Below are 18,619 nucleotides of genomic sequence, written 5' to 3'. Positions count from 1 at the left end.
CATGTGCCAGAAGGGCATATATATATATATGGAGAGAGAGAGAGAGAATATATAGAGAGAGACTAGAGAATACATGTATAGAGAGACATATCAGAGAATACATTATGAAACATGAATATACATTAAATCAACTATGCACTTTTCAAAAGAAACAAAAATAAACCACCATACTATTTATTCTATGACAACATAAACAACAAAGCAACTGCATAAAGAAAGACACTTAACATTCAAATAAGCTATGAACATCTTTTCATCCTATTTGAATACTGTTGCCTCAGTCTGTGCTGGCTGCTGGTAGGTCAGGGACAGAGGGTTGCATAGACATCATGGAGGGCCTGCTAGCCCCACTCTGAGACTACTTTAGTCTAGAGGAACACTCAGGTAGAGAGAAAGGGCACAGAGTGGTCAAAACGTACAAATAGGTAGCTTCAAGTATCTCTCAAGCATTGAAACTATTTCTGACAAAGATTTCACTGGGGTAGATGACCTCTCTCAGGGTGAGAACAGGAAGGCAACGTTTAAGAAACAAGGGACTCAGCTCTTTCTTTCAGTTGAGCTGTTTTCTCAGTGGCTTTCGTTAAAAATTAGCTAATTTTTGAGTTTGTTTTCCTGAGTAGGTAATTTAAACTAAGGAGAGAATCTGTGCAAAATAGGAAGGATTGGATGTGACTGTGTGGGGAAGACAGAAGAAAGAGGTTGCAGTTGCAGGGAGATCTTAAAGGGGTAAAACTAAAAGAATTTAAGAGTGTGTGTGTGTGTGTGTGTGTGTGTGTGTGTGTGTGTGTGTGTGTGTTGGAAACAGTCTCACTCTCCTTGCCCTGGCTGGACTGGAATGCAGTGGCGTGAATCAAAGCTCACTGCAACCTCAACTTCCTGGGTGCTGGCATTCTTCCCACCTCAGCCTCCCAAATACCTGTGACTACAGTCACGCACCACCATGCCTGACTAATTTTTGTATATTTGTAGAGACAGGGTCTCCCTATGTTGCCCAGGCTGATCTCGAACTCCTGGGCTCAAGTTATCTGCCCTCCTCAGTCTCCCAAAGTGTTGGGATTATAGGCATGAGCCACTATGCTCAGCCCGGAATGTATTTTATAAAAGTTTATGTTAAGGGGGGTTGAAATATTTGGTAAAATCTACATGACTTTAAAATCTACATAACTTACTGTGGTTAGATTGTTGGTTTTCTGACAAGTTTTTGTATTAACTTCAATGAATGTGGAGCAAGAATTGTGACTACTTATGATAAGCCAGACAAATATAGATTCTAACTGTATTTTGTAAAAGAAGTATTATGTTATTTATTGAAAAAAATATTAGCTGTGAATGAAACTGAACATTTGTATGTGAAGCTTTTACTAGAATAGCTAAAGAAAATAAACTAAATCCCTTGTTGTCTAGGATATAATTAAACAAAGTTGAAATGAAGAATTATAATGATAAGAAATTCCCATTTTAGCTATTTTTTGGTGGGATGCAAAGATTTCTTGCATTTTTTTGTAGAAGGAGCTATAATAATGTCATATGTAGCCAATAAATATTGTCAAAAATATCCATTTTGCTTTGTTTGAATCACAGTAACTTCACATTGAGTGCTTACTATGTGCTTGTAATACTGTGCTGCAGCTTTGCCCCTGTCCAGTTATTTAATGGGAACTTTAAGATATGGTAGTCCTGCGAGCTCCAAAGAAGTGCTGGACTTTCACTATCTCATTTCATCCTCCCTCTGTGACTGTGAGGCAGGTTCTGTCATCCCACTCTACAGATGCAGAAACTGACATGCAGGAAAAGTAACTAACATGCCTCAAGTCCTAGAGAGGCATGAGTGGCTGAGTCAGGATTCAAAGCACAGCAGTTGCTCTAGTTTACATTCTTGTTGCAACAATGCTGTGTCCAGACCCAAAGTCAACTTGTGATGGGAAGGAGTGCCCTGGAGAGGAGTCAGCCAGGGAAGTGGAAGTAAGATTCAAGACTGACTCACATAGATATGAGGCCTTAGGAAAGCTGTTTAATAGTCCTGCGATTTAGATGCAGAATCAGCATTCTTCCAAAGTTTAAATGAAATTGCAAACGTAAAATGAAGTGTTTTTTTTCTCCTAGTAAATGCTAGCTCTTCCCTACACAAAGTGACTTGTATAATTTCACCCAAGCTACCTATAAATAGACAAATATTAAGATTCAATTATAGGTTAATATTTTACAATAGAAATCTGACCTCTGCCTATTTTCCTTTTGTTTCATATTTATGCATTTATGTACTCAGGTGCTTTTTATTCATCCTTTTTGGGGATTCCAAGCTTGTTACTGCCAAGGTGATCATATTCTGAGAGAAATAACTCTAAAAAGGTAATTCTTGAAAATGTTTTTAAGACTTCCTTTAGATTTGAGTTCTTTTTCTAATTCAAGGAATTTTGCTGCTACTGTTTCCATTCCACTGCTTTGTTGTCTCCTTGGCTTTACCTATTCACTTACTATACTGTAAAACTAAGTTGTAGCTGGCTGTCTCTGCTTATACAGAAATCCCATGACTCCACTCCTGTTGCTTTCAGTTTCCCAGTGTTGCACTAAATTCTGGTTTCTGGCTGCCTTTATTCCTCCCTACATGTTTTTGAGGTATAAACCCCAAGTACAGTATTATCTTCGTATCTGTCCCAGCCTGATTCTCAGCTCTGTCTTTTTCTCGCTCCCTAAGTGGGCTCCCAGGAGAACATTCCTCTGCCTTATGATTTGGGCAAAAGGCTACCTATGCCATAAGAAATAACTTGTTAAGGTTTTTCCGTCTATTCTTTTCCAAAGATTGTGACTTCCGGTGTTTTCTGAGCCACAGTTCTCAGTACATTGAAGATGGGTTTAATTCCAATTACTATTTTAATGTCCAATCTTCCCTTTTACTTTATTTAACACATTTTATCATTGCCCCTTTAGAGATCTGTTATATTAACACTAAGGTTTTCTTCAAAATACAGTTGACCCTTGAATAACAGGGATTTTCATGGCGCAGGACCATTTATACACAGATCTTTTTCAACAAATATATTAGAAAATTTTCAGGAGACTTGAGAAAATTTGAAAAAACTCACAGATAAACCTCATAGCCTAGAAATAACTAAAAAAATAAAAAGTTAGATATGTCATGAATGAGTAAAATATATGTAGATATTATTCTATTTTATCCTTTACTACCATAAAATACGCACAAATCTATTACAAAAGTTAAAATTTATCAAAATTTATACACACACTTATTGACAATACATGACCTCATTCACAGTCCAGAGAAATGTAAACAAATGTAAAGATCCAGTATTAAATCAAAACCACATAAAATTAACTGCAATACATACTGTACTACTGTAATAATTTTGTAGCCACATCTTGTTGCTATTGCAGTGAGTCGAAGTGTTGTGAGTATCTGCTGAAAATACCTTGTGATGTTAATCGTCTCTATGTGAGCAGTTCCTCACTACAGTAAACTGTTTATCACAGTAAAAAGAGATCTCTCATTATAGTCATATATTTGCCATGTTTAGTGCAATATCATAAACCTTGAATAACATGATAGGACTCAAAATAAAGTGCCATTAGTGATGCAGGAACTGCTCCCAAAAGCAGAGGAAAGTCATGAAATTGCAAGAAAAAAGGTTAATTGCTTGACATATACTTTAAATTGAGGTCTGCAGTTGTGTTTGCCTGCCATTTCAAGATAAATGAATGCAGGGTAAGGATCATTGTTAAAAAAAAAAAAAGATACATGAAGCCCTTTCTACAACTATGCCAGCAGGTGAACAAACCTTGTACTTTTTGCAAGATATCTTATTATCTTATATTGAAAATGTAGCTTTTATGTGGACACAAGATTGCAATAGGAAATGCTCTTTCTTTATAGCAATAAGATAGAGTCTTTAGACTTTAATATGGTTAAAGCCTAGATGGACTCTAACATGATTTGATAAAAAACGAAGTCATTTTATGACAAGCAAAAGGAAAGTGCAGAATCTAAAGCTGGAGGATTTAATGCCAGCAAAGGATGATTTAATAGTTTTAGAAATAAGTTTGGCTTAAAAAATATCAAAATAACAGCAGAAGCACTTTCTATTGACCAAGAGATAGCAGATGAATTCCCACAAAGAAAAGTATTGAGGAGAAAAGATATCGACCTGAAGGGGATTTTAATGTAGACAAAAGTACCCTATTCTGGAAAAAAATGTCTTAAAGGATATTAATAATGAAGAGAAGTGAGCACTAGGATTTAAGGCAGAAAGGGATAGGCTAACTCTACTGTTTTATGTAAATGAAGTTGAGTTTACGATCAGGACTGACCTTTTGTATAAAGCTGCAAACCCCCAAGCCTTGAAGGGAAAGATAAACACCAGCTGCTAGTCTTTTGGTTTTACAACAAGCAGACCTGGACAAGAACCATTTTTCTGGATTGGTTCAATTGATGCTTTGTCCTTGATGCCAGAAGGTACCTTTCTAGTAAAGGGCTGCCTTTTAGCATTCTTTTGATTAGACAAACCCTTGGCCACTCAGAATCCCATGAGTTCAACATCAAAGGCATCAAAGAAGTCTATTTGCTGCCAAAGATATCTCTAATTCAGCTTCTAGATCAAGGGGTCATAAGGATTATTAAGGCTCATAATAAATGGTACTCTATAAAAAAGATTGTCCAAGCTGTGGAAGAGAAACACGATTGAGAGACCACGAGTCTGGAAAATTACACCAGTGAAGATGCCCACATTTGTGATAGAAAAAGTCATGAAAGTTATCAAGATCAAAACAATAAATTTCTGCTGGAGAAAATTCTGTAACATCACAAGATTTACAACATAGCCAATCAAGGAAATCATGAAAGAGCTTCTGGATATATCTAAAAAAAAAGTAGGGAGGAAAGGGTTTCAAGATGTGGATCTTACATAAATTCAAGAGCTAATAAACATCACACTGGAGGTATTAACAGAAGGAACTTGATGGAGATCAGTATTTCCGACCCAGTCCCAGGTGATGAGAAAGAAGTCATAGAAGAAGCAGTGCCAGAAAACAAATTGACATTGGACAACTTGGCAGAGGGTTGATTATTTAGGGCTGCTTTGGACTTCTTTTACCACACGGACTTTTCTGTGTGAGTGCTAAAACTAAAGTAAAATGGTGTAAAGATTATTGGTACCATGAGAAACATTTTTAGAGAAATGAAAAAGAAAAAAGTTAGAAATTACAATGTATTTCTTTAAGGTTACACATAGTATACCTAATTCTCCTGCCTCTTCTTCCACCTCCTTCACCTCATCCACCTCTGCCACCCGTGAGACAGCAAGACCAACCCTTTCTTTTCCTTCTCTTCCTCAGCCTATTCAGTGTGAACACAACCAGGACGAAAGACCTTTATGATGATCAATTTCCACTTATTGTATAGTAAATATATTTTCTCTTCCTTATGATTTTCTTAATACCATTTTCCTTTCTCTAACTTAATTTATTGTGAGAATACATTATATAATACATACACATCATATGTGTTAATTGACTATTTGTGTTATCAGTAAGACTTCTGGTTAATAGTAGACTATTAGTAATTAGGTTTGGGGGAGTCAAAAGTTGTTCATGAATTTTCAACTGAGCAGAGGGTCAGCATCTCTAACCCCTATGTTTTTCAAGGGTCAACTGTAAAGTAATATTGAAGCAATTATATAACCAATATTTTAACCAAAAGTTTCAGTTAAGGTACCCTAAGCAACCAACGTGTTTACCAAAAATCTCCTTTTACAAAGATTTTATAAATTGCAAGGACGTTACTATTGTTTTAGTGATGGAGACCACAAGAAAAATTTCTCTCATATCTTGGAATTAGTAATCCCACATTGTATTTTGCTGGTGGCACAAATAAGATTTCAACTTTTGAACATTCTGACATAAATCATGTTTCTTTTTTCACATTACCTGTTTAGAAGGCTTTGAGATAAAAACGTGATCTACATCTAGCACGTGAATACTGTCTTTTATGCACCTCATCATATTACCTCTTAATTTTCTATCCTACTATTTTCTATCCTACTGTAACTCTATGTCTCATATTCCTTACTTAATTTAACTTTATCTTGTCCTGCAGACATCTTAGCCTCTATTAAAACTTTCTAAAATATAACAGGTTATATTCATTACATTTAATTAAAGACATTCAACAAAGGAACTTCTGTGGGAAAGTTCAAGATTGAGCAATTTTTAAGAATATTTAAATGTGGTTACAAGAGTCAAGCAGACCCCGTGTTGCAGCTTCAGGAACTCAGCTGGTCTCTGGTCCTCACCTTGGCCCTATGGACCCGGCTGGACATTGCCCCCAGCACAGTGGGGAGCCTGGTGCCCAGTGGCCCTGGGACTGGTGCACACCATCGAGCAGCTGGCTGGCTGGGCCTGCAGGCACACAGGTGCCAGCCAAGTTTGGGTGGAGCTTATCAGAATAATTTTTAACATCAACTCCCAGGAGAATCTGAAGGTATACATCATCGGTCAGCCTCCTTGTTGGTCTTTATGATCATTGTGGGCACCATGGCATAGCTTTCCCAACCCTGGACTGTTTCTTCAAAATCAAGGAGATTAAGTCACCAGAAATGGCAGAAGATTGGAATACTTTTCCGCTATGGTTTAATGATTTGGACTTGTGTGCACCAGAAAATGAAACATTAAGGCATCTCAAAAATGACACCAAAACTTTGGGAAGCATAATGACCATGCAGGCCAGAGCATCGCCAGAACATCCACCAGGTCTTCCCAGGCCCTGGAGGATTCAGGCCCAGTTAACATCTCAGTCAAAATCACCCTAACCCTGGACCCACTCAAATTATTTGGAGGGTACTCTCATGGCATCACTCATCTGTATTCAGTCATTTTAGGTCATCAGATTGGACTTTCCGACAGAGAAGCCCACGAAGAGGTAAATATTACCTTTACTCTGCCTGCAGCTTGGACATCAGATAGCTGTGCTCTTGATGGTCACCATGAGCAGATGGTGTTCACAGCCTGCATGATCCTCACGGACAGCCCGGGTGTGTTCCCCATCACTGTGCAGCCACCGCACCGTGTTTCTGACACATACAGCAATGCCACCCTCTGGTGCAAGATCTTTAGAACTGACAGAAAGGCCAACACAGAATACGCTCAAGATTACAGTCTTTTCTGGTGTTAGAAAAGGCCCATTGAAAAAGACTATCATGTTTTTAATCCCAAGCATACAGTTATTGCTCCAGATGATGACTGTTCATTAATAAATTTGCATCTAATGCATACCAGTTACTTCCTCCTCATGATGGTGATAATAGTGTTTTGCTATACTGTTATCAAAGGCAGACCCAACAAATTGTGTCAGAGCAATCCTAAATATTGTCCTGAGAAGACAGCTTTGGCTGACACCTAATCCCACAGTTTCTTGTTTTCTGAGAGAGACTGAGAGAACCATAATCCTTGCCTGTTGAACCCAGCCTGGGCCTGGACACTCTGTAATACATTATCTTACAATGTTGGGTTATTCCAACCAAAGACATTTAAAGTGCCTGTAACTTATTTGTATGTATGTATGTATTTATTTATTTATTTTGAGACGGAGTCTCACTCTGTCTCCCAGGCTGGAGTGCAGTGGCGCGATCACAGCTCACTGCAACCTCAGCCTCCGGGGTTCAAGCCATTCTCCTGTCTCAGCCTCCTGAGTAGCTGGGATTACAGGTGTGTGACACCATACCCGGCTAATTTTTTTATTTTTAGTAGAGATGGGGTTTCACCATGTTGGTCAGGCTTGTCTCAAACTCCTGACCTCGTGATCCGCCTGCCTCGGCCTCCCAAAGTGCTAGGATTACAGGTGTGAGCCACTGCGCCTAGCCTATTTGTACATCTTTATAAAAATCAATTTGGAAGTTGGTCCAATGATGCAAATGCTTTGCACTGGGTGCAACCAGAGTCTTCCACCTCACCTCTGGACTTGGGGACCTGGTGGGATATTTCCACATAGCACTAGAGAGGATTTGTGGATCTTGCCATGTTAGAGCAAGTCATGATGTTTCTACCAAGGCCACAGACACGTTTCATTGCTGGTGGAATTAAGGAAAAAGTCATCAATCCATTTTGTGGATTTTACATGTCTATGGCTTAATAATTACAGTAAAAATAATACCTTTTTTTCCCATTTTGCTTGCAAAAAAACCTAAGTTTTTTTCTTTTGAAGAAAAAATAAAATAGTTGCATTTTAAAACAAAAAAATGCAGTCATATCAACACTTTAAAATGTAAAAAAAGAAAGAACAACATCAAGTAAGTAGAAATAAATGTAAATCCAAAAGGACACTCACATTTATGGCCAAATTCATCCCAAGCTCACAATTTTTTTAAAAAAACTACCATGTTTAGATCAGGCCTTGATAAGCCAAATCTAAATAAAGTTTTATTGGAACACAGCTACATTCATTCATTTACACATTGTCTGTGGCTGCTTTTTGCCTATAGTGGCAGAGTTAAAGAGTTGTACAGAGAGCGCATGTCCTGCAAATCCCAATGTTTACTATCCGTCCCATTACAGAAAAAGTTTGCTGATACCTGCTCTAGATGATTGTGTTAAATCTGCTCAGTTATTTTCAACCAGTGTTGCACATGTGTAGTGCCACCTACAGTGAGTCCAGGCCCAAGCTGGAAATGTGTTATAGTGTCTGCTAAAGACATTTCTAACTCTGGTTTCTCCATCAGTATTAATTACAACACAGTCCTCTGAGTTCAAAAATACTTGCACATCAGGGATAGTTATATTTTAGAGATTGTGTGCAAACTTAACTCACATGCCTATTTTTGTGGGGTAAATAGCCAGACAATATATGATAAATGTGTTATATAACAAAACAAATTACACATACGTGGGGAAAATGTCCCATTTTCCTAATAGATTCATACATTCTGTAGTTCATATATTTATGGTACTTTTCTGTTTTTTTTAAAAAAAGTAAATTAGGTTTGTCAAGAGGCCAGAAATTATTGAGCAGAAACAAAATGAACAACCTCTGTTCTGATCAGCTTAATCCAACTACATATCTCACAAAAGCAAAGCCATCTTTTTCCACAAGTATCACATGTGTCTGTCTGCCTGTTTGGGAAAGGCCTATGAAACCTAAGGGGAGTTATTATGTTACTGATGAAAAGCTCCAATCTGTAACGCATATGTGCATTTCAGTATATAGTATCTGCTTATTTTCATTAAATTGCATTAAATGCTTCAATATGTAACACAGTCTTCTTCCTTAGGAAGCGTATACTTGTGGAATTCTTTGTGGTATCCCTGGGAATCCCTTTACCGTGTATCCATGGCATTCTGCCTTTACTGGGCTCATTTCTTCCTACTCCCTGGAATATTTATCAAAGGAAGTTTTTCCTTTCCTACTATAAGGTTTTGCTTTTTGTCCCCAAGCTACCATTTTTGAACTGAAAGCAAAGGCAAAGAACAATATATTTGAGGAAAGAATCTAACACTACTAGAAATTACTGCACAGTATCTGTTTTCTTACTTAAAGGCAGAAACAGAAGTTTTCTTCTCTCATCTTTACCCCCAAACTTCTGTAGTTTAGACCTAGGTTAAGGCCCAAAGTAGCAGAACAAAGAAAGCAAATATTTTCCAAGTAGGGAAATTTCATCATTCATACCTATTCACCATAGTGAATATGGAAGGGGAATAATTATTTTTGTATGCACTTCTATTCTCTGCTACAAGGCATACAGTCTACATATGAACTTAAAAATAGTTTATCTGAAAACCTTTTTCCCACATTCTTTAATTATGTTATTCCCGAAAAAATAAATGCAAATGTGCCCCGACATTTAAACATTACTTTATAAATACGCTTGTGTAAACATCAGATAACATATGTACAGTGGTTTTTCTCTTCACTATTCTAGCTTAACCATTCATCTTTTAAATCACATTGACAGTAGTGGGCCAGACAGATAATATATAATTAATAAGGTTTCTTTTTAGTCAAAGTAAAATTCATGTCCCAAATGCGTATCATTTCCAAATTTTCTACTTCACTAGCTGAAAGCCATCAATGTGTTCATTTTGAAGGCAAATGACCTATTTCTTTTGAAATATAAAAATCAAACAAGCCCTTATTTGTGTTTGTACTGGGAAAAACATTAATATTTAATATCCATTAAAAGTAATTGCAAAACTCACAATTGTTGCACCAAGCTAGTAACAAAGGTGAGACATCAGAATAAAACAATTCTAAGTGAAATTCAATTGTTACATATTAATTTAAATACAAATTTATTCAGGAAGTTTGCCACCTAGAAAGAACAAAAACTTCTGAGGGTGTATGGCATACTTTGATACCTAAGCATAAAAGAAAGTGACTCTAGAAATCCAGTAAGTGTAGAGCTTGATGAGATTGTTTGCTTACATCTGGATGAGTCATTATAACAAACAAACTCACAGTTACAGTTTTCAAACTTGTGTTTATATTTATCCAAGGATTCCTGAACCTTTGTCACTTCCTACGCCAACTGGAGGAATTTCACAGAAGGTGGGAGGGATGACAGCCACAGACCTAACACTTAGGCGCTCATAAGTTATGCTGTATATACCTATCCTTCTGGTTTCTTCTGCCCCACTTTTGGAGTGAGAAGATCCACACCAGACAGCAGGAGAGAGAAGAATATTTTTTCAAGTCCAGATGTTTATGGGTATTTTGAAGCAAATAAGCAATTCTCATCAAGTTTAGGTTTAAGAAGTGAAACATACATTAAAATAATATTCATTTTGACTTAAAGGTTTATTTTCTCCTAATAGTTCATCTATGTAAAATAAATAATTTAGAATTTATTTTCAATAGTAATGGTAATGTCAATAATGGTACTGTTAATAATTAATGGCATAAAAATAATATATTTGCCAGGCACTATTCTAAGCAATTTATACACAATAAACTTGTTTAATCTTCAACACTTCACAAGTCTGAAGCAAATATATATATGTGTGTGTGTATATATATATATATACACACATATAAAATAATTTGTCCAAGGTCACACCGAGAGGAGAAGCAGTCTGTCTCCAGATCCAAACCATCTCCCAAGTTACATATATATATATATATATATATATATATATATATATATATATGTGTGTGTGTGTGTGTGTGTATATATATGTGTATATATGTGTGTATATATATGTGTGTGTATATATATGTGTGTGTATATATATATAGTTATATAGCTATATATATATTATAGAGTAGAGGAGAAAAGGAAAAACTTCCCTTGATAAATATTCCAGGGAGTAGGAAGAAATGAGCCCAGTAAAGGCAGAATGCCACGGATACACGGTAAAGGGATTCCCAGGGATACCACAAGGAATTCCAGAAGTACACGCTTCCTAAGGAAGATGACTGTGTTACATATTTCGTTAACTGTGCAAGTTAACGAAAATAAGATATATATCTATATAGTTATATATAGATATATATCTTAAAATGTTAGAGTTTTATCTTCATCCCTCTAGCTTTATCATTAAGCACAGGTTCCATAACAAAAGAGATCCTCAAAAATATTTGCTTCATTGAATGAGTCCCATCTTATCTGAGAGACTGTAGTCTGTAATGATTAAAAGCATGAACATTTTAGCCAATTGTCCAGGTTTTGAATCTAAAATGTGACTATAGGGAAAGGCCAGTCCTATTTGACCATGTGACCATGTCACAGTGTGACCATGAAGGTTATATAATCTCTTTCTGTCTCAGTTGGCTATTCTACAATATGGAGATAATGATAGTACCTAACTCATAGAACCTTTGTGATAATTAAATAAACCAATATAGGTAAAGTGCTTAAAGTAGTGCCTGGCACTTAGGAAGAACTATATAAGTACAACTTAGGATTATAAGTGTTGGATGTTCAATTTCCAGTGAATGTGAACTTATTTGGAAATAGGGTATTTGCAGATGTAATCAAATAAAGATGAAGTCATACTGGATTAGTGTGAGCCCTAAATCCAATACTGATGTCCATATAAGGAGAGAGAAATTTGTAAATATGGAGAGATGCACAGAGGAAGGCTGTGTGATGACAGAGACAGAGATTGGGGTCATGCTGCCACAAGCTAAGGAACACCAAGGAGCCCATTGCAAGCCAGAAGCTAGGAGGAGGCAAGCAAGGATCCTTCCATCAGAGGGAAGGTGGCCCTGCTGACACCTTGCATTTGGACTTCTAAGCCACCAAAACTGTGAGACTTAATTTCTATTGTTTTAAGCCATGTAGTTTGTGGCAATTTGTTACAGCAGCTCCACAGAACTAAACAATGACTCTAGTCATTGCAATCTGTAATAAACAAGTGACTGAATTCAGCTCACCTAGCAACTTTGGAAATAAGCCTATATAAGTGTAACAGGATTGTTGTGAAGGGAGTGAATAGCAAAGCGATGTTATGAATTTACAGCATTTATAGTAGTCATTCATTCATCCATTCAAATATGCTTATTCAACTAATTGGTAACCAAAAGAGTGAACAGAATGACATTTTCTTTCAGGGAGCTTATGGTCCATCCAAACTAATGCCCTGGAGATTTTCTCCTGTTTTCTTCTAGTAATTCTACAGTCTCTAGTCTTACATTTACGGTTTCATCCAGTTTGAATTTATTCTTGTATAAGGAGTAAGATAAAGGTCTGTTTTCATTTTCTCCATGTGAATATTTAGTTTTCCAACATCCTTTATTGAACAGGCTGACTTTTCCCTATTGTGTGTTCTTGACACACAATTGTGTGTGTGTCTGTTTTTTGCCAATACTATGTTGTTTTGATTACTATAGCTTTGTAATATATTTTGAAGTCAGGTAGTGCCTGTAGCTTTGTTCTTTTTTTTCTAGATTGCTTTAGCTTTTCTGGGTCTTTTTAGTTGTACAGAAATTTTAGGATTTTTTTTCTATTTCTGTGATGAATGACATTGGAATTTTGCTAGGAATTGCATTGAATCTGTAAATCTCTTTGGGCAGTATGAACATTTTAAAAATATTAATTCTTCCAGTCTTGAACATGGGATAGCCCTCCATTTATTTGGTCTTCTTTAGTTTCTTTAATTAATGCTAATTCTATTTTTTTTATTTATTTATTTTTATTTTTTTGAGATGGAGTTTCGCTCTTGTTGCCCAGGCTGGAGCACAATGGCATGATCTCAGCTCACTGAAACCTCCACCTCTCTGGTTCAAGCCATTCTCCTGCGTCAGCCTCCCGAGTAGGTAGGACTACAGGTGTGCACCACCATGCCTGGCTGGGTTTCACCACATTGGCTAGGCTGGTCTCAAACTCCTGACCTCAGGTGATCTGCTTGCCTTGGCCTCCCAAATTGCTGGGATTACAGGTGTGAGCCACTGTGCCCAGCTTATTTTAAGTAATCTCTTCATCCAAGTTCATGGGCCAAAATTCTATGAAACTCCAACTTAAGAACACCTAGGACTTTAATACTTCCTTCTCACTTCTACAAAATGTGGAAGGCAAAGGTAGGGAGGGCATATAACTGACAGGAATAAACCTAGTTATATATTCCTTTAACTTGTATGGGCTTGAGTCTTTTTCACCTCACATTAAATACTCTGTTTTCTACAAAATGTGTCCATCTCATTTTCTGGTATTAAGATTCTCCATATAAGAGCAAGAAGCAGTCTTTGTGAAGCCAAGAAAAACGTATGTTACATCTTTCACTCAGAGCGATGGGTAAGAAGTATTGCACTTGATCTAGAGCAATAACCAATAATACCAAAAAGCACATTTCTGTACAACTGTACAATTCCTCTTGAACAGGACACTGCTTAATATATAAACCTTGTTTGTCATGATCGAAAGATTTAGGGATTTTATAGTTTCCTACATTTTTTTGGTTAACAAAATTCTTGTAAGTGACAAAATGTCAGGCAAAATTCTAATTTGTTCTTACCATAACTTTAAGATGGCACATACAGATAGTTTTAAAAAAACTCCAAATACTTTCCAGAGATTAGTTTTTGATGAATGTCTTCTAATAAATGAATAAGAAAATAATACTTTAGAAGTATACTGTCCTCTTGTTCTAGAAAAACAATAATCACCTTTTAATTTGAAACATTTTATATCTTAGGAAATGTTTTAAAATATTTCTTTTTGACCTTCAAAGTAACCCTAATAGATGAGTTTTACTAAGAGGTTATATAAAAGGGTTTTCAATACTAAAGACAGAGTCTATTATCTGTGAGCCATAGACTAATTCTGGAAACTATGAAAGTTATAGAGAAAATTAGAAAAAACATTCTTTTCTCCAAATTTAGAAGGAAAAGTATAAGCAAATTACAAAGTAATTGGTGTAACCTGGTGCTTAATGTTTAAGGTATCCATCTTAGACTTTTGGGGCTTCTGTAATAAAATACTGTAGACGGCCAGGCACAGTGGCTTACGCCTGTAATCCTAGTGGATCACTTGAGGTCAGGAGTTCGAGGCCAGCCTGGCCAACATGGTAAAACCCCGTATCTACTAAAAATATAAAAACTAGCCAGGCGTGGTGGTGGGCACCTGTAATCCCAGCTACTCGGGAGGCTGAGGGAAAAAAGAAGATACTGTAGACTGCATGGCTAATAAACAACAGAAATGTATTTCTCACAGTTCTGGAGGCTAAGAAGTCCAAAAGTGAGATGCCAACAGACGAACTGTCTGGTGAGGAGCCTCTTACTGGATTATAGACAACCATCTTTTTACTGTGTCTTCACATGGTGAAGGGAAAAGGGAGTGCTCTTGGGCCTCTTTTATAAGGACACTAATCTCGTTCATCAGGTCTCTTTCCTCATGATCTAATCACCTCTTAAAGGCCATACCACCTAAAAGGATCACTCACATTGGGGATTAGGATTTCTTTTCTTTTTTTTTTTTGTTTTTTGTTTTTTGAGATGGAGTTTTGCTCTTGTTCCCCAGGCTGGAGTCCAATGGCGCAGTCTTGGCTCACTGCAACCTCCACCTCCCTGGTTCAAGTGATTCTCCTGCCTCAGCCTCCCAAGTAGCTGGAATTACTTACAGGTGCCCGCCACCATGCCCAGCTATTTTTTTTTGTATTTTTAGTAGAGGCGGGGTTTTACCATGTTGGCCAGGCTGGTCTTGAACTCCTGACCTCAGGTGATTTGCACGCCTTGGCCTCCCAAAGTGCTGGGATTACAGGCATGAGCCACCACGCCCGGCCAAGCATTAGGATTTCAACATATACATTTTGAGGGGACACAGATATACATCCACTGCAGTATCTTATTGAGTTTTAAATTTGTTGTTTTAATATTGCCCTTCCTACCTTCTTTCCTTACTCCCTTCCTTCCTGCCTGCCTTTTTTCTTTATTTTTTTTCTTTTTCTCTTATGAACAATAACAAACAAACTCTGAATAAAATCATCAAAACAGAAAAAAAGTTATATGATAGCTCTTAGAAGCTCAATAGAATTAAAGATAAAATTGAAATAGGCTCAGAAATTTCTGCAAGCTTAGCAATGCCAGGGCTGTGAATACCAGGAACATGATGGGGAATTCCTTAGGGTGTTCCCACTTTGCATCAGAAGTAAATACTTTCTATTCTTCACTCTTTACTTAGGATTTAAGTTACCAGGGAGGGCTAAAGACATTGCATGCTAGGACACCTTGAATGAGCATCACAGCAAGACTCTATACCATTCACAAAGCAAAGTCAGGATGCTGTTACCAAAGAAAAAGCACAGGCAATGAAAAGGAACAAAGAGTAGATGTCCTCTACAGTGTCTTAATGAACTCTGAATTTCATAGTGTAAAATGCAATATCTAGGCTATTATATAACCATTTTAAGTTATTTTGATCATACTTTTGTATCAGTATTTGGTTAAACTATGAGCAATAGAAATACAAAACAGCAGTAGTTTAGATACATTTGAAGTATATTTTATCATGTGTAAAAAGTCCAACAGTAAGCAATCCAAGATTGGTACGGTGGCTCTGTGCAAAATGTCCTTGGAAACCCAGGCTCCTTCTACCTTATTATTACAACATAAATGTACTTGTTTTATTCATTTCTAAGTTAGCTTGTGGTTCAAGTTAGTTAAACAAACTCTAACCCTAGACATCATATCATAAAGTAGCAGAAGGCACCAGCAGTCTATCGCATGCTTATGTAATTATCTGCATTGGAGGCCAGAAAAGCCTGTCTTTATAGGAGTGGTGTTATTCTCTGTTAAAGACTTGAGTCTGTTAAGATACAGGAAGGAGAGAGAGAGAGAGAGAGATCTGAAGTCAATTAAGAGTCCCAGCTGTAATTGCATTTCTATTTTTCACAATTTCACATGAATTTATTCTAATGTATATATCATTTAACCAACAGAACATGCATTTTCTTTAGTTTTCAAACCACAACTGAGAAACAGGGCCAACAGCACATGGGTGTGTGTGTGTGTGTGTGCGCGCACATGTGTGTGTGTGTTTGGAGAGAGAGAGAGACAGAGAGAGAGAGAAAGAAATTTATTTTAAGAAATTGGCTCATGTGACTACAGAGATCACCAAGCACTAAGTGCAAAATCTGAAGGACTCGCTGGCAGGATGGAAACACAAAATAAGCCAGTTCTGTAGTTCATCTCTGGAGGTTATATGCTGTAGAATGTCCTCTTGCCCAGGAGATGGCCAGTCTTTTGTTCTATTAAGTCCTTCAATTGATTGGATGAGGCCCACCCACATTATGGAGAGCAATCTGCTTTACTCCAAGTCCATCAATTTAAATATTAATCTTATCTGAAAACACCATCACAGAAATATCCAGATTTGACCACATATCTGAACTCAGTGGCCCTGACAAGTGGACACATAAAATTAACCATCACAATAACAAATACAGTGCTCTTTGACTGTCATAACTTTACTCTATGTACAATTTAACTATCCAGTAGTAAAAGTGTGTATATGTGTGTGTGTGTGTGTGTGTGTGTGTGTGTATTCTTATGCGTTTGTATCCTTAAGGTCCATTGCATTGGCATTAGTCCATTCTCACACTGCTGTAAGAACACACTTGAGACTCGGTAATTTACAAAGGAAAGAAGTTTAATTGACTCACAGTTCATCATGGCTGGGGAGGCCTCAGGAAACTTACAATCATGGCAAAAGGGGAAGAAAACACGTCCTTCTTCACATGGTGGCAGGACAGAGAAGTGGAGAGCAAAGCGAGGAAAAGCCCCTTATAAAACCATTAGCTCTTGTGAGAACTCACTGGCTGTCATCATGAGAACAGCATGAAGGAACCGCCCCCATGATCTAATCACTTCCCACGAGGTCCCACTCCCAACACATGGGGATTACAATTCAAAATGAGATGTGGGTGGGGACAGTCAAACCATATCACACACACATATATAGATACACACATATATATGCATGTGTGTGTATAAATGTATGTGTATGTGTATATATATGTGTGTGTATATACATACATATATACAAATGTATGTATGCATTCTTAAGAATACCAGTCAATAAAATTCTAACTTACATGAGATCAATAAGCCATCACCAAATGGGGGAAGAAAGAGAAAGTAAAGAGGCTATTTGGAATGCTCCTGCCCTATGTATACCTCAAGAGCTCATAATGAAAACTATTAAAAGGGAAAGAGGAAAGAAGAAAAGTAATAAATGCTGTTAGCAAACTCTTGAATTATATTTATAGTACACAGCAAAAATATATACAGCTGTGAAGTTTAATGTATTTACCTTGGTAAAATGGCTTGTAAAACATTAGAGAATGAAATTTTAATATAAACTTCTCAAATTGAAATTTTAAAGCAGTATTATTACTTAGCCCCAAGTGGAAATCTGTTAGTTCAGTCAACAAAAGTCTATTAACTATGATATGTCAGACATTACGCTAGTCTCAAATTACACAGCTAAAATATATTTGTTTAAATAATATCTATTCATTATAAGCCTTGAGTAAGTACTTGGGAATCAAAATGTAATATTTGGAAGTGAAAGTGAAGTTTATGAATTTGAAGTTGTTCAAGAACATCACCAGGTAGTGTTGGTACCAATATTTTATGCTGCTTCCCATATCACATGCCACAAACGGCAATTGTCAGTCTATATCAACTTCAGGAATCACTTAAAGAATTGAACTAATAGGAATTCAGCATATATTTCTGGAAGATAAAGCCATTTTGAGGTCCTGAAAATCATTTTATTACTTGTGTTTTTTTTCTGGTTAAATTATTTTAAAGATTTATTCTCCTATCCACATATCAATGTGTTTTCGTCCTTGCAATAGTTTGCTGAGAATGATGGTTTCCAGCTTCATCCATGTCCCCACGAAGGACATGAACTCATCATTTTTTATGGTTGCATAGTATTCTATGGTGTATATGTGCCACATTTTCTTAATCCAGTCTATCATTGTTGGACATTTAGCTTGTGCGCATGTACCCTAAAACTTAAAGTATAATTAAAAAAAAAAAAAAGAATGTGTTTTCTGCTGCTCACTCCCAGAGATGAGGCAACTAACCAGACTTAATCACTTTTACTTAATTTTAATATGGTAAATTAAATATTAGTTTTTAAATTGATCTACCAGATGAGATGACTGCAGGCAATAT

At 36.7% G+C, this 18,619-nt stretch overlaps 1 pseudogene; it reads left to right on the top strand.

Annotated features, from left to right (window-relative positions):
* Positions 6,384-7,569, top strand: TMEM248P1 (transmembrane protein 248 pseudogene 1; annotated as a pseudogene).

The sequence above is a fragment of the Homo sapiens genome, chromosome 4 (assembly GCF_000001405.40).
Source record: "Homo sapiens chromosome 4, GRCh38.p14 Primary Assembly".
In the NCBI taxonomy this organism is placed as follows: Eukaryota; Metazoa; Chordata; class Mammalia; order Primates; family Hominidae; genus Homo; species Homo sapiens.
Note: the sequence above shows the minus strand (reverse complement) of the source record. Positions and strands in the feature narration are given on the sequence as shown.